General features: G+C 47.3%; 1 long non-coding RNA gene across 2 annotated transcripts in view; it reads left to right on the forward strand.

Moving 5' to 3' along the window:
• Positions 1 to 23,365, forward strand: part of LOC105372649 (uncharacterized) — a 108,687-nt gene that overhangs the window by 9,877 nt on the left and 75,445 nt on the right. Inside the window, exon 3 of one of the 2 annotated variants that reach the window (XR_936820.3) lies at positions 110 to 544. The exons of the other annotated variant lie outside the window; for it this stretch is intronic. This is a non-coding gene — a long non-coding RNA (uncharacterized LOC105372649). Of the gene's footprint in view, positions 1 to 109; positions 545 to 23,365 lie in introns of those variants that run through there. 2 annotated transcript variants of the gene reach the window in all.

The following is a 23,365-nucleotide window of genomic DNA, read 5'->3' on the forward strand; positions in this document are numbered from 1 at the left end:
CTTGTCTTTATACAGTGCAGTCACAAGCTAGAGGGAGGGTCCCTGAAAGCAAACATCCCTGGAGCCCAGGAAAGCCATCATTCGACTGAGCCAGCCCCATCTCTTGCAGGAACAAGATGTGGCTGTGGCAAGCGGCCAGCCATCCCCGGTGCCGAGGGACCTGGGAGAAGCTAGGGCAGCTCCGGCATTGTTCCTGCCCTGTGGTCCACAGCCTCGTCTTCATCTAGCGTCTGCACCCCCTAACCGTCTTTCCAAAGCCTCGGGGATGGCAGGGAAACTGCAGGGCTTGGGATCCCGCAGAACCAAAGAGTTGGGAGAAATCTGCAATTTTGAGACTGAAGGAACAAGCCTTGTCGTTATGTTGACACTGAAAATAGCTTTATGCTTCCACTCAGTGCCAGCTGAGTCACGGTCCTACTGACATCTCCTGCCCATTCAGGGCTTCCCACATTTCATCTCCCAGACACACTCTCCTGGCCCTTGCCCTATTCTCCTTATTGTATACTTAATTTTTTAATGAACTCTCTCCCTTCCCTTCCCTTTCCTTCCCTCTCTCTCTCTCTTTCTTTCTTTTCTCTTTTTTGGATGGAGTTTCACTCTTGTCACCCAGGTTGGAGTACAGTGGGGTGATCTTAGCTCACTGCAACTTCCACCTCCCAGGGTTCAAGCGATTCTCCTGCCTCAGCCTCCTGAGTAGCTGGGATTACAGGCGTGCACCACCATGCCTGGCTAATTTTTGTATTTTTAGTAGAGATGGGGTTTCACCATTTGACCAGGCTGGTCTTGAACTCCTGACCTCAGGTGATGTGCCTAACTCGACCTCCCAAAGTGCTGGGATTACCGGCATGAGCCACCGTGCGCAGCCCCTCCTTCCCTCCCTTGTCTCCCTCCCCCACTTCCCTCTCCCCCCCTTCTCTCTCCCCCTTCCCCCCCTTCCCTCTCCCCCTCCCCCCTCCCTCCCTCCCTCCCTCCCTTCCTCCCTTCCTTCCTTCCTTCCTTCCTTCCTTCCTTCCTTCCTTCCTTCCCTCTTTCTTGACAGAATCTCCCTCTGTCACCCAGGCTGGAGTGCAGTGGCACAATCTCTGCTTGCTACAACCTCGGCCTCCCAGGTTCAAGCGATTCTGTCACTTCAGCCTCCCTAGTAGCTGGGACTACAGGTGCACACCACCATGCCCAGCTAATTTTTGTATTTTTAGTAGAAATGGAGTTTCACCATGTTGGCTAGGCTGGTCTCGAACTCCTGACCTCAAGTGATCCACCCATCTCGGCCTCCCAAAGTACTGGGATGACAGGTGTGAGTCACCATGCCCAGCCTTCTTTTCTTTACTCAAATAAATTTATTTGAAAAGAAAACTACTTAAATATATGTTTAAAGAGGAAACATTTTATCACAATTATAAAATAAAATAAACAATAATAGCAAACATTTATTAAGCACCCGTAAGAGTGCCAAGCACTGTCTCAGCCTTTTATACATACTCACTCATTGGATTCTGAGTTAGATGCAATGATTATCCCCATTTTACATGTGAGAAAACTGAGGTTCAGAGAGGTTTGGCCACTTTGCTGGAAGTTGCAGTTAGTGAGTGGCAGAGTGGGGATTCGAACTCAGGAGCTGCACCTACTGCTTAGGTTCCCTGCACAGTATATCAGCCTCATGAGGGCAGGGGTTTTGGTTTCTGTGTCCCTGGGCCTAAAATAGTGCCTGACACACAATAATGCTCAATAAATACTTGTTGATAAAAACAAATGAATAAATGAATGATCAGTTGCTATACTAAGAAGACAATCAGGCTGGGCATGGTGGCTCACGCCTATGATCCCAGCACTTTGGGAGGCCGAGGCGGGTGGATCACCTGAGGTCAGGAGTTTGAGACCAGCCTGGCTAACATGGTGAAACTCCATCTCTACTAAAAATACAAAAATGAGCCAGGCATGGTCGTGGGCACCTGTAATCTCAGCTACTTGGGAGGCTGAGGCAGAGAATTGCTTGAAACCCGGGAGATGGAGTTGCAGTGAGCCGAGATGGCACCACCACTGCGCTCCAGCCTGGGTGACAGCATGAGACTCTGTCTCAAAAAAAAAAAAAAAAAAAAAAAAGACAATCAGAAAAATAAATACAATGGAAACCAGAGAAGTCCACTGTTGCCTGCTCAAGATGCTGAGCATGAAGCCTGTTCTCCTGATTCAGACAAGAAACCAGCCAGTGTGGAGTGATAGGAAGAACACACTCATAGCCAATGGAGACTTGCTCCTTGACAAATTAGAAAAATTATACTGGAATCTTGGCACTTTGGGAGGCCTAGGTGGGAGGATTGCTTAAGCCCAGGAGTTTGAGACCAGCCTGGGCAAAATGGCAAAACCCCATCTCTAAAAAAAAAAAAAAAGATACAAAAATTAGCTGGGTGTGGTAGTGGGTGCCTGTAGTCTCAGCTACTCAGGGGGTTGAGGTGGGAGGATCACCTGAGCCTGCGAGGCAGAGGTTGCAGTGAGCCGAGATCGGGCCACTGCACTCCAGCCTGAGCAACAGAGGGAAACCCTGTCTCAAAATAAATTAAAAAAAAAAAAAAGGCTTAAAAGGAGGCTAATTTTTTTCCTTTAGGAGTCAGTTGTTATAAACATTTTTAACAGTGAATTCACATACCATGCCATTCACCCATTTAAAGTGTACAGTTCAATTCTTTTCAGTATATAGAAAAAATTGTACAACCATCACCACAGTCCAATTTAGAGCATTTTTATCCTCCTCTGAAAGAAACCCTGTACTCGTTAGCAGCCTCTCCTTCCTCCGACCCCTCTAGCCCTCAGCAATCACTAATCTTTTTCTGTCTTTATGGATTTGCCTATTCCGGACATTTCATATAAATGGAATCACACAATATGTGGTCTTTCGTGACTAGCTGCTTTCACTTGGCAGAATGTTTTCAAGGTTCTCCCATCTTGTAGCCTGGATCAGTACTGGAGTCAGTTATTTAATGCTACATCCTGGGTTCGGGTAAAACGACCTAAAATGTGAGTCCCCCGCTTCAGGAAGCGCCGCTGTAATGAATAAAGAACCTTTTGGGGGAATCATAGCTCAATCTCTTCCTGGTTCTAAGCGGGCAGGTTCAGGCTTCCCTGCGGTGGGGTTGGAGCAGGAGGTTTATCTTTCAGCTGTCCTTGGGACTGGGCAGGAACTTGTTCAAATGTTACTGCTACTCTATCCTCCTTCCTAAATCAGGACTCTGGACGCTCCTGGGAATCACTGTCTGTTGCTGCTCTCTGGGAGTGTGAATGAATCACTGGGTGAGAATGTCAGTAGCACCTGTGTGTGCTGGTCTGGGGCGAGAATCCTGGGCCAAGGGGCAGCGGAGGGGAGAAAGAAGCAGATGGCCACGAGGCCAGCAAGGGGCTGTCCGACTCGTACCCCACAGCCAGCATTCCCTGCCTCTACCCGTACACTTGTTTTGGCTGCAGGAAGCTGTTTTAGGTGGAAATCATTTGATGTGTGTAGGTGCTGTCTTCCCAAACACACCGTGCTCGACAATTGCCCCAGCTCTGCAGGATAGACTTTTTGTAGCTCTTGGTAGCTACCCATTTTTTCAGCCTCTAAATAGTGGTGGTGCCTGTTTTAATCCTCTCATGGATCGTGTAAAGTAGGTGATCTTTTCCCCATTCACAGATGGGAAACTGAGCTTCAGGATAGTCACATGACTTGTCCAAGTTCTCATGATTAGGAAACGTTGGAGCTGGGCTTTGAACTGGACTGCAAAGCTTGTGCTCTTGACGAAATAGGAAGGCAGAGGCTGTGGTGGGGAGCAGCTTGGTTATGGGTACCCAGAAGGCAGAGCCGTTTCTTGCGTACCATAAAATGGGACATTTACCTTGGGTACTCCCTTTGGAGTGTGTTGCTGGAACTTGTGCAGGGACTTAGGGAATCTTCTGGGGAAGAGGCCAGCAATGTGTTGGGGATGGAGACGAGGAGCACTCAGTGTTATGTTTTGGAGCCTTGTCCTACACCTGAGGACCTCCAAGTCTATCAGTCAAGGCCCTTTGGGAAATGAGTGAAAGAACTCAACCAGCTCGAGCAAGGATAATTTATTGACTCATGTAAAGAAAATATCCAGGATAAGACTGCCTTCAGGTATGGCTGGATCCAGGGGTTTAAAGGTTGAAGCCACTGCCTCACTTTCTTTTGGCCTTGCTCTCCTCTCTGTTGACTTTGTGCTTAGGTAGGCATCCTGTGGTGGCACTAATGGCTGCCAGCAGCTCTAGGCTTTCTTCCTCCCCATTCTGCATCACAAAGCTGAAGACAGCATCTCACTTCCAATGGTCTCAGTCTCAGCTACAGGTCTGGGGTTGCTGCTTATTGACCAGGCTCATCTCACACCCCTGGTTCATATTCCTGAATCAATGGGTGGGGGGAGGGTGGGGGAATGCACTGTTTTGATTGGCCGGTGCTGGGTCAGGTGCATATCCTTGGAAGTGGAGGCATGGTCAGTCCTACTTGAACCACGTGAACCAAGAAGGAAAACTCGGGACCCTTGTATCAGAAGCAATGGGAATGGATGCTGGGAATGTTTCAGGCCACAGACATCCTCCTCGTGGGTGGCAGAGAAGCCACCATTCATCTCTGTGGCTTTGCTGCCAACTTGCCATGGGACCTTGAGCAAGCCACTTCCCTTCTCTGAGCCTCAGTTTCCTCATCTGAACAGCGATGATCTTTAAGGGCCCATACAGCCCTGAACTTTTGAGGCCAACAGGGTTTGTCTAGCCAACAGCCTGGCATCCTAGCTTGACAGGTCCAAGCTAAGGCTTAGGAATGCATGGCCTTCAGAAACCCTGGGGTCGAACCTGGGGCTGGGCGCCTGGCCTCTTGTTCTTGCCCATCCTGGCAGGGTACAGCCTGTGATGTGGGAGGGAAGGGTTCTGAGGAGGTTTCTTTGCACATCCCCAGCATTCTCCGTCTATAATTGGCTCCAAATGAAATGATCTCATCCCTGAACACTGAGGAAGAAAGGGTGGGGGTGAAGCTGCTCGCTGGCAGCATCTGACATAGTTTATGACTAACCCGCTTCCCTCCCGAGGCAGGGAGAGACGGTCCGCTCTCTCGAAGACAATGTACAATTTTGAAAAAAAAAATAAAAAAGTCTTGGTAAATAGATTGAGGAGGCTCCAGCCTCCTGGGCTTTTGGGAGGCCCAAGGCATTTTTCCCCTCTGCCCAAACCAGGTATCTTTTGCCCATTGCTCACAAGTCAACGTGACCCGTGCTATTACCATTCCCCAAACTTTTCACGTCAAACCCTGGCCGGGAAGGTGGTCAATGTAGCCAGTCCATCAAGCGATTTGTCCCATATGGATTCTCAATTGAGTTTTGTGGCCGGCTGGAGCTTGTTTAAATGCCCATACATTAATTTTGAAAGATGAGCTCCTAATCAACTTTTAAAAAGCTTGTCACAGCACCATCTGTTTGGCGTTTGTCACTATTGCATTACATAAGAGGAAAGACATTTTTAAAGAATGCGGCTACATTTAGTAATTGGATCGCCGGAGAGAAGCCAAACCGGGGCGGATGGCACCGTGATTCAGAAATGCCACGGGCCCTTCTCCGGGGTGTGGCGGCCTCCCCAAATTCCACGCGGTCTTGGCAGAGACCTGAGTGCAGCCCAGCTTGGGAGACAGGCTTGGGGTGGCTTCTTTTCCTCTTGCCTTGGTCTTCCTCTTATTTTTTCCATTTGTTCTCCCTCACCCCTTGCTACCCCAGTATTAGCAGTGACCAAGTGGCTTTACTTCCCTGAGTCCCAATTTCCTCATCTGGAAAATGGGATTCACAAGAGCACCATCTTGTGAGGTTTAAATGCATTAATGCCTACGGTGCCTGGCACGTGGTGAGTGCTTTATAAAGTGTTGCTATTTTATAAAGCTATGTCTGATGCATAGTAGGTGCCAACACATGTTCATTTTCCTTCCTTTTTCCCTTCCCTTTATTTATTTATTTATTTAGAGACAGGGTCTTGCTCTGTTGCCTAGGCTGGAGCACAGTGGTGCAATCTCAGCTCACTGCGGCCTTCACCTCCCAGGTTCAAGCAATTCTCCCACTTCAGCTCCCTGAGTAGCTGGAACTACAGGCATGCACCACCACACCTGACTAATTTTTTGTATTTTTTTTGGTAGAGACGGGGTTTCACCATGTTGGCCAGGCTGGTCTGGAACTCCTGACCTCAAGTGATCCATCAGCCTTGGCTTCCCAAAGTGCTGGGATTACAGGCGTGGGCCACCGTGCCCGGCCCCTTCCTTCCATTTAATTCAACAAGTTCTTAGGAAGTGCCCACGTTTGAGGCAGAGCTGGCATCATGCACATGCACAGCCATTTGCACAGGGCCCCACACTCACAAGAATGCTGAGCTTGGTTTAGCGTTCTGCTGTCGCTGGCTTGACATTCTTAATTTTTGAACAAGGGGCCCTGCATTTTCATTTTGTACTGGACCCCACAAATTATGCAGCTGGTCTCATCTGGAGGTCTAGAATGATGCTATGTCTTATTTGACCGTCTGATATTTAAAATAACAATAGAGTCAACGTTTTAAAATCAGGAGAGTTCACACAACAGTCTGGCTTATTTTAGAAAATTAGAACATCTTGCCACTGTGAGTCTGCATTCCCACACACTGCCACATGGGCTGGAGCTGGAGTCCTCTATACAGGCCACATCCGCCACTGTCCCCACCACTCCTGGAGGCTTTGGACTGAGTCTCTTTGCTCATTTATAGAGCTTCCAGCATGGTAGCTGGGATCATGGGCTTTGCAGCCAGGTATGTGTTCAGCTTTTCTGTTAATCATCACAGTAACCTCTCTCTTAGGGTAGTAAGGATTAAACTAGTTAATATAGGCAAAGCATCTGGAATATGTTGCACTGTTATTGCTACTGTTCTGCTTTATCCTGGTGCAGAAGCTCAGACCCCCAGTCTGAGGGCTGCCCCTCCGGGAGCTGGAAGCTGCGCCTGTGGCAGCTGGCTATGAAAGCGTCTCTTTCTGCTGTCCCACACAGCAGCCGTTGTCAATGTCCACTTTCTCTCCCTCCACCTGCAGCACCAGAGTTCACACCTTGGGCCCGCCCTCCTAGCATTATTTTGAGAAAAGGGCCTTCTGTCCTGTAAATAGGCTGAGTCATCCCTGCCTCAGGGCCTTTGCACACGCTGCACTTGCTTCCTAGAATACTTCTTTTCCCATCGCTTTGCTTGGCCATCTTCTCCTTTTGGTCTAGCTCAAATGGTACTTCCTCAGGGAGGCTTTTCCTGATCGCCTAAGAAAAGTAGCCCTGTTTTCTTTCCCCTGTCATACACATTCGCCTATATTATTTTCTTCCCAGAACTGGTTTGTTGTGTATCTCCCAGAGGACCAGGTCTGCCTTGGTCACTGTGATATCCCTAGCACTTAGGCCATTGCCTGGCACATGGTAGATGTTTGATAATTATTTATTGAATGAATGAAGGAAGGAAGAAAAGAATTCATCAACTCCTCATGACCACCCTGTAAAGCAGGGACAAGAGACCTGAGTCATGGAGAAGAGAAGGGACTCCTCAAGGTCGCACAGCCCAGAAGGGGCAGAAAGGGTGATGAGGACCTAGGTTTTCTGCTTCTACACCCCCTGTCCCCTCAACCCCCCAGGTGGGAAGCAGCAGAGACATTTGGATCTTTGGCTCGACCAGCCACCAAGAACGGGTCAAGTGTGCAGCAAGGCCCAGAGCACAGCGTCTGAGGGTGGTGAGAGCGATTCACCCAGGCAGCCAGGAGGCGAGACTGTTTACAGGGGCTAGCGGCTGTCGCCATGACAACCGGACAGCCTACAGCTTCCTGCGTCACCAGGGACGCAGGTTTGCTCTTGGCTGGGAAGCAGTGGGGACAATGGAGTGGGGGCTGGGAAATGGGGGGACCCTAAACACTCAGTCTTGGGGGGAGGCAGTTCTCATTTCTGGTTTTTTTTTTTTTTTTGAGATGGAGTCTCGCTCTGTCGCCCAAGCTGGAGTGCAGTGGTGCGATCTCGACTCACTGCAACCTCTGCCTCCCGGGTTCAAGTGATTCTCCTGCCTCAGCCTCCTGAGTAGCTGGGATTACAGGCGTGTGCTACCATGCCCGGCTAATTTTTGTAGTTGTAGTAGAGATGGGGTTTCACCATGTTGCCCAGGCTGGTCTGGAACTCTTGACCTCAAGTGATCTGACTAACTCAGCCTCCCAAAGTGCTGGGATTACAGGTATTAGCCACCATGCCCGGCTGGGAGTTCTCATTTCTGAGAGTTGCTTGAAGGCTGGGAGGGCCTGGTGATGCTACCTAAGTGTGTGTGTGTGTGTGTGTGTGTGTGTGTGTGTGTGTGTGTGTGTAGTGTCTGGGCTGTGTGGAGCCAAGCTGCCTGGGTCTGAATCTCAGCTTTGCCTCTTCTGTGCCGTGGCATTTTGGGCAAGTGAGTTAATCTCTCGGTGCCTTAGTTCCCTCTAATGTAAAATAAGGTGGACAGTAGTACCTCATAGGACTGTTATGAGGATTAAATGAGATAATAGTCTCACGGCACTTACAATGCACCTTGCATTGTGCCTTAATTCTTGACATCAATCTACATCTGACTCTAGGTTGTCTTCTTGCTGGGGTAGTGGGAAATTTGGTCTCAATCATCCTCAGGGATCCCTACTTCCCTGGCTTTTGTCATTCATTCAACAAATACTTATTGAGCACCTACTGCATGCCACGTATTGTTCTAGAGGCTGAGACCACAGCAGTGAACAAAGCAAACAAAAATCCCTGGCAGAGTAGAGCTAACATTCTAGTAGGGATAGATAGACATTAAATATGACAAAAAGGAAAATAGATATTATATCAGATGACAATAAGAAGAAAAAGAAAGCAGGGCTGGAGGATTCCAACTGCAGGGGAGCTGTTGCAATTTTAGAAAAATTGATGCATGGGGATGTGAGTGTGTCAGGGAAGGCCTCACTGAGAGAGTAACCTTTGAGTACAACTTGAAGAAGGTAAAAGAGGGAGTCACAGGTTATTTGCAAGAGCATTCCAGGCAGAGGGAACAGTAAGCGCAAAGGCCCTGAGGCAGGAGCATGAGCATGTATGTGACTGTATCATGTAGTCATATCTCTTGGCAAGTCTGTGTGTGTGATGTTATGTGGCACACATTGGTGGCATATAGGTGGTTATGCCTGTCCACATGGGTGGCAATGCACATACATGTTTGTTCATGTACAGAGCTGCTGTGTTCAGTCACAGAGGCTGTGCCTGAACAATTCAGGGAGTGACATTCACACTGATTGCCATGAAATGGGACCCCCTGGTGTAGTGCAGCGCAGTGGCCCCGAGCATATATATAAGGAAATCAATGTAAAATGTCTGTGAAAATGTTCACACGTGTATGTGTCCGGATATTTAAATATAACGATATGCAAATATGTATATATGAATGTCTTTAAGATGTTGATATTTCATTCCTCATGGACTTTTGCTTCAGTATTGATTTTTAAAAAATATTGCATTAAGATATTATTTCTCTTGATTACTCAGTTTTTGGGTGCATCTTACATTTGCATCAGAGGCAAGTGCCTCACTCTCTTAATGCTGGTCCTCGCCCTGCCTTGGAGTTGGGCAATGAATGTGCGGGAGGCAGGGATGAGGCAAGGGAAGCCTCTCCTTCTGGCTCCTTCCAGCATCTGGGCTCATCAGCACATGACTAGAATCCAAACCTAATCTGAACACATTTTGTTCCTTTAAAACAAGATTTATTGAGTGCTGACTGTGCGCCAGGGACTCTGCATACATTATTTTATTTTATCCTTACCACCATCTCTGGGGGTAGATATTTGCTCATTCCATTGAACAGACATTTGCTTAGGGCCTACTATGTGCCAAGAGTATAAGCTGGCATTTGTGCTGGTCTGGCAGCCACTCCTGATTTTTCTGGTAAAAGCACCCCAGTTTTCCTTTAGGGAACCTAGCCTCTTCCCTTTACTGTCCAAGTGGTTTCACCTGGGCTTTCTGTACCCCTCCCTCAGACTCCAGGGGTGGGGGTGTGATCCAGGCGACCCAATCAGCATACTCCATCCCTTTTGCTCCAGAGATTAGTTATAGGACGAGTATCTAACCCAAGTTGGTTCAATCAGAGTGAATCCTGGGATTTTTGCTGCCCTGTTGGGAAAAAGAGCTCTCTTTTCATCAGGATTTCTAGCTGTGAGAATTCTGTAACCCTGGAATTCCCAGTGAGAGTCTACTACATGGAGAGAGAGAGAGAGAGGAAAAACTCATCCCTTATGACATCTTTAAAGCCCCTGGATCCAGCCACACCTGAAGTCAGTTACCCTAAGATTTTTCAATTCTGTGAGTTTATACTTGTTTTTCTTTTTAAAAGCCAGTTTGAGAGGGAAGCTGAAATCCTGTGCTTGGCATCTTTGTACATTATCTCCTTTAATTCAGAGATGAATCCCATGGGGAAGGGGCTCTGATTGTACAAGAACTGATCCTCAGGGAGGGAGGTGACTTATCCAAGGTCACAGCAGGTTGGTAGTTGGAGCTTGAATTCAAGCCCAGGTCTCTACTCCTGAGCCGTTCTGCCATTCCACATGGTCTGACCTCTGGACAAGAGGGTTTGTGTGAGTATTAGTGACATAGACCCGAGTCCTGTTATGGCCACTGTTTTGCTCTGTGACCTTGATCAAGTCATTTCTCTAATATGAGCCTCAGTTTCCCATCTGGAAAAATGGTAGTGCTTACCCCATCATGCTGTCGTGAGATGATCCATGAAAGTAAAGTACTCAGAACAGGGCTAGACATGCAGCAATGAACATAAACTATTATTACCATGGCTCTCTTTTTTTTTTTTTAGAAAATTTTTTTTTAAATTTCATAGGTTTTTGGGGAGTAGGTGGTATTTGGTTACATCTTTAGTGGTGATTTGTGAAATGTTGGTGCACCCATCACCCGAGTGGTATACACTTCACCAGAGCAGTATACACTGAACCCAATTTATAGCTTTCCATCCCTCACCCACTTCCCACCTTGCCCCGCAAGTTCCCAAAGTTCATTGTATCATTCTTATGCCTTTGCATCCTCATAGCTTAGCTCCCACTTATGAGTGAGAACATAATGTTGGTTTTCCATTCCTACCATGGCTCCCTCTTTGAGGGAAGAAAGGGGACCCAGGGGGCTCCCCGGCCACCCTGCTCCCATCCTCCCTGATGGCCACAGGCTCCCAGCAGCCCTTGATGGCACCTTCATCCATCTTCTGCCAGACACACAGAACTGGCTCGCTTACCCGGGAAGCAGGCACTTAAGGAGGCGCTTCCCCGCTTTCTCTTTTAATTTTCGTTACATAAATTTCACATTTCCTGGAATAGAGAGCTTGAATGTCTGGACTCATTTGGAAATCGAGTCAGCAAAGGGCCTCATTTATATTAATGGGGACTCGAGCCTGACTTGAGACGTGGCAGAGACAAGGATGGATGGCAGCAGCTCCTAGGCCCAGCCATCCAGGCTGAGCTCAGACACTGCCTTGAGAAGCAGATGCCTCCAGATTTAGGCTGGGACTGTTCTCGTTGTGTGGGGAGCTCCTGGATGCAAGGGCGGTGTTGTCACCCCTCCCCCACTGAAACTTCCCAATGGCTGCTCACTCTCTCAGAGGGAACTCCAGTCTGCTTATCCTGCTTGACAAGGGGCTGCGTGATGGACCCCTGCTAACCTCCCTGCTCCTGCCCACCACTCTCCTCCCTCATCCTTCTTCAGTCTGGCTGGCCTCCTGAGAGCATTCCTGCCTCAGGGCCTTTGCACTTGCCGTGCTCTCTGCCTGAAAGGTTGTTCTCCTAGCTCATCCCGTGGCTAGCTCCTTCCATGGCTTGTCTCACAGACAGCACCTCAGGGAGGCCTTCCTTGATTGCCCATCTGGAGAAACACTCTCCAGTTACTCTGTATCACACCCATTTCATTTTCTCCATCACACTGAGCAATAGTTTGTATTTTCTTGTTTACTTATTTGCCTATTTATTTATTGGCTGTCTTTCCCATGAGAGTATAAACCCCATTAGAGCACAGACTACGTGTCTCCTTCAGCTTTGTCCCCCTAGGATCTGGCTCAGAGAGACAGATTTCTTAAGCACCTTAATAAATATTTGTGGAATGAATGCCTGCACTCATTCAGCAAACCCTTTCTGAGTGCCTTCCTGGTGCCAGGCTCTATTCTGGGTGCTGGGAACACAGCTAAGAAAAAGACAAGAGGCAGGGCACGGTGGCTCACGCCTGTAATCGCAGCAATTTGGGAGGCCAAGGCGGGTGGATCACTTGAGGTCAGGAGTTTGAGACCAGCCTGGCCAACATGGTGAAACCCTGTCTCTACTAAGGATGGAAAAATTAGCCAGGTGTGGTGGCATGTGCCTGTAATCCCAGCTACTGAGGAGGCTGAGGCACAAGAATTGCTTGAACCTGGGAGGTGAAGGTTACAGTGAGCCGAGATCGTGCCACTGCACTCCAGCCTAGGCAACACAGTGAGACTCTGTCTCAATTAAAAAAAAAACAAAAACAAGACAAGATTGTTGGCTGCATGGAACTCGTGGTCTGGCGCAGAGAGGAAAACACCATAGTAACGAACATTTATTGAGTGTGACAAGGATTTTACAAAGAGACATCACATTTAATCCTAACTACAGCCCTTGGAACTATTATTTGTACCAGTTCATGAGGCACAGAGAGGTGAAATAGCTTGCTCAAGGCCATACAGTTAGAAAACAGAGGAGCCAAGATTGTGGCCAGGCCATCCGGCTCCCCACTCTGCTGGTTTAACAAGCTCACTGAAGCCACTGGGAGTTAAAGCCTTGTGCTGTGAAACCTGTGATGGGGGAGGCTCTGAAGGCTGTGGGAGCCCAGAAAAAGCACCTGACCTATTAGGCTGGTGCAAAAGTAATTGTGGTTCTTGCCATTGAAAGTGATGGCAAGAACTGCAATTGCTTTTCACAACCTAATAGCTTTTGATAGGAGAAAAGATGAGCAAAGCCTCCTGAAAGATGCAGTACCTTAGTTGTGTCTAGAATGTATTTATTTTTAACTTTACATTATAGCTTAAGAACTTTTAATATCTCCATGCTGTCCACAGTTAAAATTTTAAGTAATGCATATTATTCCAGTGAGAGGCAGCACCATCCATCACTGTTGGGGAGTTTCATGCTTGCAATTTTGAGGTTCTCTTTAATGCTTTGAGGACCAACACCCTGGACTTACTGGAGTAATGTAGCGCTCAGGTTTCGGCTCCTCCCTTTACTTGGCTCTGAGGATTCTACATGCCTGGAACAAGGCACATCTCCAAAGTCACTAACGTGGCTAGATAATGGATAACTAGAAGTGCCTGCCCCCTCCACCATCCTTGTCTTGATGCCAGGTGAGATCCAGGCTCCTCTGCCCCAAGAAGGGCTGAGCTTACATTATCTCCAGCTCAGCAGGTCCTTGGAAATTAGGTTGTTTTAAGGAAATAAAGAAATGTGATATTTCAACAAGACACTAGGAACAGCGGTTGCCTCTGCAGAGGGAAACTGGGTGGCCAAAGGATGGGGTAAGAGGGAAATTTTCGGGCCAGGCGCTGTGGCTCACACCTGTAATCCCAGCACTTTGGGAGGCTGAGGCGAGTGGATCCCTTGAACTGAGTCCAGGAATTCGAGACCAGCCTGGACAACATGGCCAAACCCTGTCTCTACAAAAAAGCCCTTCAAAATTAGCTGGGTCTGGTGGTGCATGCCTGTAGTCCCAGCTACCTAGGAGGCTGAGCTTGGAGGATCACCTAAGCCTGAGAATTTGAGGCTCCAATGAGCTGTAGTTGCACCACTGCACTCCAGCCTGGGTGACAGAGACCCTGTCTCAAAGAAAAAAAAAAAAAGGAGATTTTCTTTGCAGATCCTTTTATATCTTTCCCATTGGGCACCACGTGAAATTATTACCGAGTTTAAAAAAAACTTTTTTTTAAAAAATGTAGAAGTTAATGTATTATTTCTGCATATCGGTCTGTGGACTAAGCTTTATACGATGCATTCATTCTCTTTATTTACCTCAAATGTGGGAAGTAGCTATTATTGCCTCTTCCTGACAACAACAAAAAAAGCCTGAGGACTGGAGATGGGCTGTGCCTTGCCCAAGGTCACATGGTGAATTAGTGCCAGAACTGAGACTCCACTGGGTGCAGTGGCCCACGCCTATAATCTCAGTACTTTGAGAGGCTGAGGCAGGTAGATCGCTTGAGCCCAGGAGTTTGAGACCAGCCTGGGCAACATGGTGAGACCCTGTTTCTACTAAAATAAAAAATACAACAGTTAGCTAGGCATGGTGGTGTGCAATGTAGTCCCAGCTACTTGGGAAGCTGAGGCAGGAGAATCACATGAACCTGGGTGATGGAGGTTGCAGTGAGCCGAGATCGAGCCACTGCACTCCAGCCTGGGTGACACAGCGAGACTCTATCACAAACAAACAAACAAACAAACAAAGAATTGAGACTCTACTCCAGGCCTTCTAACCTGTCCAGGGGGTCTCCACTTCTCCAGGTACCTCTTCCTTTACTGGCGGAAGCCATGCCGAGGTGTGGACAGAGGGGTGGTGATACCTCTGTAGTTATCACCTACAGTAGGGTGGTCACACGTCACACTGGTGTTACACAATCTGGGCTCAAATCCTGGGGCTGTCCCTGGCCTGCTGCATGACCTTAGGTAAATCACAAAACCTCTTGGGCCTTGGCTCTGTGATAGCTGGGCTCCAAGATGGCTCCAATGACTCTCACCTTCCAGCGCTCACTCTTTTGTGTGGCCCTCTTTGGCAGTGAATAGGGCTGACCTGTGGGACCAACAGGGTATTTTGGAAGTGACAGTGTGTGTGACTTCCACAGCTAGATAATAAAGGATATTCTAACAATGGAATATTATTCAGCTCCTGGGCTCAAGCTATCCTCCCACCTCAGCCTTCCAAGTAGCTGGGACTCCGGGCGTGTACCACCATGCCTGTCTAGTTTTATTTTTATTTTTGTAGAGACAGGGTCTCACTATGTTGCCCAGGTTGGTCTCAAACTCCTGGCCTCAAGTGATCCTCCTGCCTCAGCCTCCCAAAGTGCTGGGATTACAGGCATGAGCCACTGTGCCTGGCGCCGGCTGATGTCTGTCTTGACTGCAACTTCACAAGAGAGTCTGTACAGGAACCGTCCAGCTAAGCCACTCTCAAATACCTGAGCCACAGAAACTGTGTGAAATGTAAGTGACGATTGTTGTTTTAAGCTGCTAAGTGTTGGGATAATTTGTTACACAGCAATAGGTAATGAATACAGTTTTTCATCTGTAAACTAAATATTGTGGTAATTTCACAGTGTCATTGATGATAATAATTTCATGATGACTCCTTTGATGATGACTTCATAGGTTGTATTTCATACGGTTGTTGCTAAGAAATTAGCAAATGCTAATTAGTGCTTGGAGCAGTGTCTGGCACCCAGTAGATTCTGAGTAAATGTTAACTGGTTTGATTATATGTTCTTTGTTATTTCTGGCACTGTGAGATGCTGAGCCTGAACAATAGATTCCCCGCCCCCCTTTTTTTTCTGAGACAGAGTCTTGCTCTTGTCACCCAGGCTGGAGTGCAATGGCACAAACTCGGCTCACTGCAACCTCCGCCTCCCGGGTTCAAGTGATTCTCCTGCCTCAGCCTCCCAAGTAGCTGGGATTACATGCATGTGCCACCATGCCTGGCTAATTTTTGTATTATTAGTAGAGACGGGTTTCACCATGTTGGCCAGTCTGGTCTCGAACTCCTGACCTCAGGTGATCCACCCACCTCGGCCTCCCAAAGTGCTGGGATTACAGGTGTGAGCCACAGCACCTGGCATAGATACCCATTAAGGAACATAGCTAGGCCCCAGGCTGCAGTGGGATAATAGAGATGGTTAGGATGAGAGCTACCGCTATTGAACACTCACTCAATGCCTGTTCATAAGCACTTCATATCCTTCCATCGAAGCCTCAGCAGCAGCCCTTTGAGGTAGATGCTATTATTTCCCCATTTGACAGACTAGAAAATCAAGGTGCAGAGAGAGACAATGACTGGCCCTAAATCACACACCGAAGAAGTGGGGTAGCCAGGATCTGAACTCAGATGTTTCAGACCCCAAAGTTTCTATTCTGAACCACTAGGCTGAGCTGCAGCTTGGCTCCCCATCCCCCACGCCCACCCCTGACACAAAGCTTATCTTTTCCCTTTACCAATTTCCTGCTTATTAGTACAGAGTTAATTGCCCACACATCTGAGTGCAATCATTAGTTCATTCACCTCCTATCTGCAGAATGTCAAACTCCTTTGCACTCGGGAGACTGGAGAGTAGATTCCTTTAGAAGTTTGTTCTTGTGATTCACGTTCCCTCTCCCAGGCTATCCCCTTCAATAGCTAGGATTGGGAATAAGAATGCACACATGTACAGAAAAGCACAGAAACATCTGCCCTGCCTTAGTTCCCTACAGGGTCTCATCAGAGGTGGTTTCATTAGCCCCAACCCTTTGCAGCCTGGCACCTTCAGACATGCCACCAGCTGGCTCTCCTAATATTTGCTGTGGGGCCATGTGATCATCAGGAGGGATAGGTCCTCAAACAGGCGATGAGCTCAGGACATGGGCATTGCCACACCTGTTCCTCTCCCCAAGGAGGGGGGAAAGCTGTGCAGTCACAGACAACGTGGCCTTTTATAAGCTTGAATGTGATGTGCATACTTGTGCATGGGCAGGAGAGCAGACAGGGACCAAGCCAAGGCTGACAGGGATCAGAGGGAAGGACAGGGGTGTTTGCGGGTGCCTGCAATGTGGCAGTGGCTGAGCTGGGCCTGTGTGCCTGTACACCATTGTGTTTCAGATATTTTTGACTGTCAAGTTGCAGGAAGAAGTATATTTTGCAGCATGACCTGTAACACACACACATGCACACACAATTGACATGAAAGTTTCATGAATCTGTACTTACCTTTTATGAGCAATGCATGCTGACTTTGATTCGATTCTAGTTTATTCTACTCCAGTCTATTTTATTCTTTCATTACAAAATTGCTAGTCATGACCCATGAAATATGTCAAAACCCCCAAATGCAGGAGTTCATAATCTGGGTCTACAAACTTGTATAGAACAAAACGATATAATTTTATTTTCACTGACCTCTAGTTGAAATACAGCACTTCCTTTAGGTATGAATATAGGCAACAAATCATAGTAATATGTTTCATAGTAATTATGTTTCACACACACAAAAATCACAGGCTGGGAGTGGTGGCATGCACCTGCAGTCCCAGCTACTCAGGAGGCTGAGGTGGGAGGATCGTTTGAGCCCAGGAGTTCAAGGCTGCAGTGAACTATGATCACGCCATTGCACTTCAGCTGGAGCGACAGAGTAAGATCTTGTCTCTAGAAGAAAAATCACAGATTGTTTTGTATCTCGTTATGTTTGTTGCAGATGTCTCAAAATAACATTTATGATCTTCACTACCTCAAAATTGTGGTCGTTACTAATTGCTGGAACTTTTTATTTATTTGAGACAGGGTCTCGCTGTGTCATCCAGGCTGGAGTTCAGTGGCTCAGTCATAGCTCATTGGAGCCTTGAATTCCTGGCCTCAAGTGATCCTCCTGCCTCAGCCTCCCAAAGTGCTAGGATTACAGGTGTGAGCACCAGGCCTGGCCCGATCTTGTTATTTAATTTGTTAATAAAGAAGCACTTGTATTACTACATCACACATCTAAAATATTTTGAAAATTGCATTTCAGTAGGTTTCCTTTGTAAACCTATGTATTTGGCTAAGTGCAGTGGCTCACACCCATAATCCCAGCACTTGGGAGGCCGAGGCAGGAAAATTGCTTGAGGCCAGGAGTTCGGAGAGCAGCTTGGGCAACATAGTGAGACCCTGTTTCTACAAAATTGATAAGAGACCCCGTCTTTTAAAAAATAACTGGGTGTGGTGGCAAGCCCCTGTAGTCCCTGCTACCTGGGAGGCTGAGGTGGGAGGATCACTTGACCAGAAAGACTGAGACTGCAGTGAGCCGTGATCATGCCACTGCATTCCTGCCTAGGTGACAGAGTGAGACCCTGTCTCTTTAAAAAAAAAAAAAGAAAAAAAAAGGAGCGTGAGGAAAAAAAACCCTTATGTATTGGCATTTAAATATTATTCTGAGTCTGAGAAGGGGGTCTGTGGGTTTCACTGGATTTGTGAGAGGGTCCATGGCACACAGAGTTTGAGAGCTGCTGCCCCAGTGAGTCCTGATACACAGTTCATGAAACGCTACCCCATGCTGAAAGCTCTTGGGGGGCAGAGCTCCGGAGTCTTGAACCTCGAGCCCAGCATGGAAATCACATCGGTGGCCAATGTTTCCATAGCACATATGGTGCCAGCCTCTGTACGAGGCCCTTCACATGGATTATTTCTTTTAATCTTTACACCAACTCTTGTGTGAGGGGTACTATTCTTAGCCCCATGTCTCTGTCTCTTTACCCTACTTCATTTTTCTTCTTAGCACCAGAAGTGTCATATATTTTTATCTGTTTATTGGCAGCCTCCCCCACTGGGATGTGTGTCTCTTGAAGGCAGGAATTTGCTTTGCTGAGTGCTTCATCTCCAAAATATCAAAATATGCAAGACTTAAGGGGGTACCAAAAACTCAGGAATCATGCCATGTCACATATCATGTTCACACACACACCCACAACCTCAGAAATCGAAATAAGGAACATTTTACTGCCTTTTTTTTTCTGGGACAGGGTCTCGATCTGTCACCCATGCTGAAGTGCAGTGGTGTGATCATGGCTCACTGCAGCCTTGAACTCCTAGGCTCAAAAGATCCTCTTGCCTCAGCCTCCCAAGTAGCTGAGACTACAGGCACACGCCACCACACCTGGCTAATTTTTTTTTTTGAGACAACAGTCTCACTCTTTCACCAGGCTGGAGTACAGTGGCGCGATCTCAGCTCACTGCAACCTCTGCCTCCTGGGTTCAAGCGATTCTCCTGCCTCAGCCTCCCGAGTAGCTGGGACTACAGGCGTGCACCACTACGTCCAGCTAATTTTTGTGTTTTTAGTAGAGATGGGGTTTCACCATGTTGGTCAGGATGGCCGCAATCTCTTGACCTCGTGATCTGCCCACCTCGGCCTCCCAAAGTGCTGGAATTACAGGCGTGAGACACTGCGCCCAGCCTAATTTTTGTATTTCTTATAGAGATGGGATTTCACCACGTTGCCCAGGCTGGTCTTGGCAACTCCTGGGCTCAAGTGATCCCCTTGCTTTGGCCTCCAAAGTGTTGGGATTATAGGCATGAGCCACTGTACCCTGTCTGTAATATTTAAAAAAATAAAAAATAATGCCCCAAACCCATAAACAAAATATCAACATTTCAAGTAAAGATAGGATCCAACCTCCTGCATGTGTACATTACTGCCTGGATCTCCTTATCCTGTTACTGGTCCTGAGGGGCTTAAAACCTAACGGTTGCTAAAGTGAATTAGTCTCATTTTGCAGATGGGGACATTGAAGCAAGGATGCTAAAGACCCCCTCGGTGCCAATAGCCAGTAAGTGGAGCAGTTAGGATTTTGAACTCAGGCAATTGAGTTCCAGCCCCATCTTTCTTAAACCCTGCACAGCCAGCCTCATGAATTATCATGCTTGATCTTTTTGGTAGAGGCAGTAAACTGGTAAAATCAGATAGGTTTGAGTTAAAACCCCAGTTTTGGCTGGGTGCAGTGGCTCACGCCTGTAATCCCAGCACTTTGGGAGGCCAAGGTGGGCAGATCACTTGAGGTCAGGAGTTTGAGATTAGCCTGGCCAACATGGCGAAATCCCATCTCTACTAAAAGTACAAAAATTAGCTGGGCATGATGGCGCATGCCTGTAATCCCAGCTACTGAGGCAGGAGAATTGCTTGAATCCGGGAGGCGGAGATTGCAGTGAGCCGAGATCACACCACTGCACTCCAGCTTGGGCAACAGAGCGGGACTCTGTCTCAAAAAAAAAAAAAAAAAAAAATTCAATTTTGCCCCTTCCTAGCTGGGTGATCTTGGGCCAGTCATCTCAATGCTCTGTACACAGATTAAAGAGGGCAGAGGGGACTGGAAGGGGATCAGAATGTGGCTACTTCATTAGGTGGGTCCACTGTGGGTGTGTCTGAGAAAGAGTGGGGAGACCGGGATGTTAGAGCAGGCACCCTTGGGTGAGAGCTGTGGGAGATGAAATAGAGAAGCATGCAGGAGCCAGTGGATGTAAGTATTTGCAGACCAAGCCAGGGACTTTGGACTTTATTTAACACGTAACAGAAAGCCTTTGGAAGGTTTTGATGGCAAAGTGACATGATCAGACTGACAGCTTGACAGGACCCCTCTGGCCATTATGTTGAGAAGAACCTGAAAGATCAAGGGCAGAAATAGGGAAGCTGGTCTGGACGTGGTACAATATGAAGGCAATAAACAATGGTGGCCTGGCCCCAAGCTGCAGCAGTGGAGGAGCAAGAAATGCAGATCCCAGATCTATTTTGAAGGCAGAGCCCAGAGGAACGGCTGACAAGCCATTCATTTCAGCACTGTTTGTTATAGCAAAAGTTGAAAGCAACTTGAACGTTCAGGAGTAGGAGACTGGCAATTACCATGTATAATAGAACACAACATAGGCTTATGAAAGAATGAGGAGGCTCTTCGTGTATTAATACAGAATGATTTCCAAGATACATTAAATGAAAAAAGCAAGATGCAGAGCAGTGTATATGGCACTCTTACTATTTGTATGGGGTAAAATCAAAGCAAAACAAAACAACACACGCACGCTACACATCGGTTATATGTATGTGTGTGTGTGTGTGTGTGTGTGTGTGTGTGTGTGTGTGTTTGCAAAAATGATCTCTGGAAGGATACGTGAGAAACTGGCGGCCTCTAGGGACAGGGGGACAGGGGTCCAGGGGTATAAGGGAAATTTCACTTTTCATTGCATCTTTTGGATTTGAGATTTTGTGCCTCTTCTCAACTGGAGGTGATGTCCCCCAGGGGACATCTAGCAATTTCTGGAGACATTTTTGGTTGTTGCAACTGGGGGGAGGTATTACTGGCATCTGGTGAGTAGAGGTCAGAGATGTTGCTAAACACCCTGCAGTGCCCAGGGCAGACCCCACAACAGAGCAAGAGCTGGCCCTAAATGTCAGTAGTGCTGAATTTGAGAAGGTTTGATCTATTAAAAAACATAATAAGGCTGGGTGTGTTGGCTCATGCCTGTAATCCCAGCACTTTGGGAGAGCAAGGCGGGTGGATCACCTGAGGCCGGGAGTTTGAGACCAGCCTGGCCAACATGGTGAAACCCCCTCTCTACCAAAAATACAAAAATTAGCCAGGTGTGGTGGCGGGTGCTTGTAATCCCAGCTACAGGAGGCAGGAGAATTGCTTGAACCTGGGAGACAGAGATTGCAGTGAGCCGAGACCGTGCCACTGCACTCCAGCCTGGGCGACAGAGCAAAACTCAGTCTCAAGAAAGAAAGAAGAAAGAAAGAAAGAGAGAGAGAGAGCAAGAGAGAGAGAGAGAGAAAGAGAGAGAGAGAGAAAGAGAGAAAGAAAGAAAGAATAGAAGTTTTTTTTTTTTCAGGATGGTCTTTATTCTGAGGTTGTATATTTTATGGGTTTGATATATCCTTTGTTTTACTAAGATAATATATAGTACATGATAGTCATTTTTTCCACATCTTTACTTGGCAAAATAAAATGTCAGCAAGCCTTATACACTTCTCTAAGCTGAATAAAAAATTATCCGGGCATGGTGGTAGGTACTTGTAGTCCCAGCTACTTGGAAGGCTGAGGCAAAAGGGTGGCTTGTGTCCAGGATTTCGAGGCTGCAGTGAGCTAAGACTGCACCACTGTTCCCCAGCCTGGGTGTCAGAGTGAGACCACATCTCTAGACAAATAAGAATAAATTTTTTTTTTTTACTGGGCTATGAAATCCTAAAGTCTGGAAACTACCCTTTTCACTCAATGGGCTTTTGAAAGGTAATGATTTTAAAATATGTCCACAAAATATTTGATCCTTTTTCCCCAAGAGGTAGAATTACCTCTCTCTAAGTGTGAACCAGATTTGGTGACTCACTGCTAACAAATAGAATTTGGTGCGAGTGATGGTTTCTGATTTCTGAGACTAGGCCACAAGACGCATTGTGCCTTTCTCCTTACCCCTCTCTCTTGGACCACTGCCCCTGGGGGATGCCAGCTTCCATGCTGTGAGGATATTCAAGAGCCCTATGGAGAAGTCCACATGGTGAGCAACTGAGGCCTCCTGCCAACAGCCAGTAAGGAACTGAGGCCTCCTCAGCCAACTTAGAGGCAGGTCTTCCATCCCAGTCAAGCAGAGGACTGCAGCTGGTGTCTTGATTGCAACCTTGTGAGAGACCCCTAGCCAGAACCACTCAGCTAAAGATGCTCCTGAATTCCTGACCCACAAAAACCATGAGATAATAAATGGTTCAACTTGCTAGAGTTTGGGGGGTAATTTGTTACACAGCAGTAGATAAATACAGAAGGCTGGGCACAGTGGCTCATGCCTGTAATCTCTGTACTTTGAGAGGCTGAGGTGGGTGTATCACTTGAGGCCAGGAGTTCAAGACCAGCCTGGCCAACATGGCAAAACCCTGTCTCTATTAAAAAATACAAAAAATTAGCCAGGTGTGGTGGCACATGCCTGTAATCCTAGCTACTCTGGAGGCTGAGTCACGAGAATTGCTTGAACTCGGCAGGTGGAGGCTGCAGCGAGCAGAGATTGTGCCACTGCACTCCATCCTGGGCAACAGAGTGAGACTATGTTTCAAAAACAACAACAAAAAACCTCCCAAAAACAAATATAGAAATCTTTGAGCCCTATCAGTAAGGCAGAGATCACAGAAAGGTAGCCTATGGGCTCTGGTCTGCCTACAGATATATTTCCTTTGGCCAGTACAGGACTACAAAAAATGGAATTAATCACTAATGTTTATTTATTTTTATTTTTTATTTATTTTATCTTTTAGCAGAGACAGGATTTCATCATGCTGGCCAGGTTGGTCTCGAACTCCGCCTTGGCCTCCCAAAGTCCTGGGATTTCAGTTGTGAGCCACATGCCCAGCCATAGTTGCTAACATTTAAAAGTTGGGTATTTCCTTTAAAAATCCAGATTTCTGACTTCTCTTAGAAAGATCTAATATTGCTGGGCCCACATCCCTATGGGGTAACAACCAGCTGGAGATGAATGGTGTTCACCCCTTTAGACAGGGTGTGTGTTCTGTTTTTTATCACACTCACCACCACCCCCTTAAGTCTCTTAGTTAAGTTGCTTTACTCATTTATGTTACCTGCTCTGCCCC

The sequence above is a fragment of the Homo sapiens genome, chromosome 20 (assembly GCF_000001405.40).
Source record: "Homo sapiens chromosome 20, GRCh38.p14 Primary Assembly".
Lineage (NCBI taxonomy): Eukaryota > Metazoa > Chordata > Mammalia > Primates > Hominidae > Homo > Homo sapiens.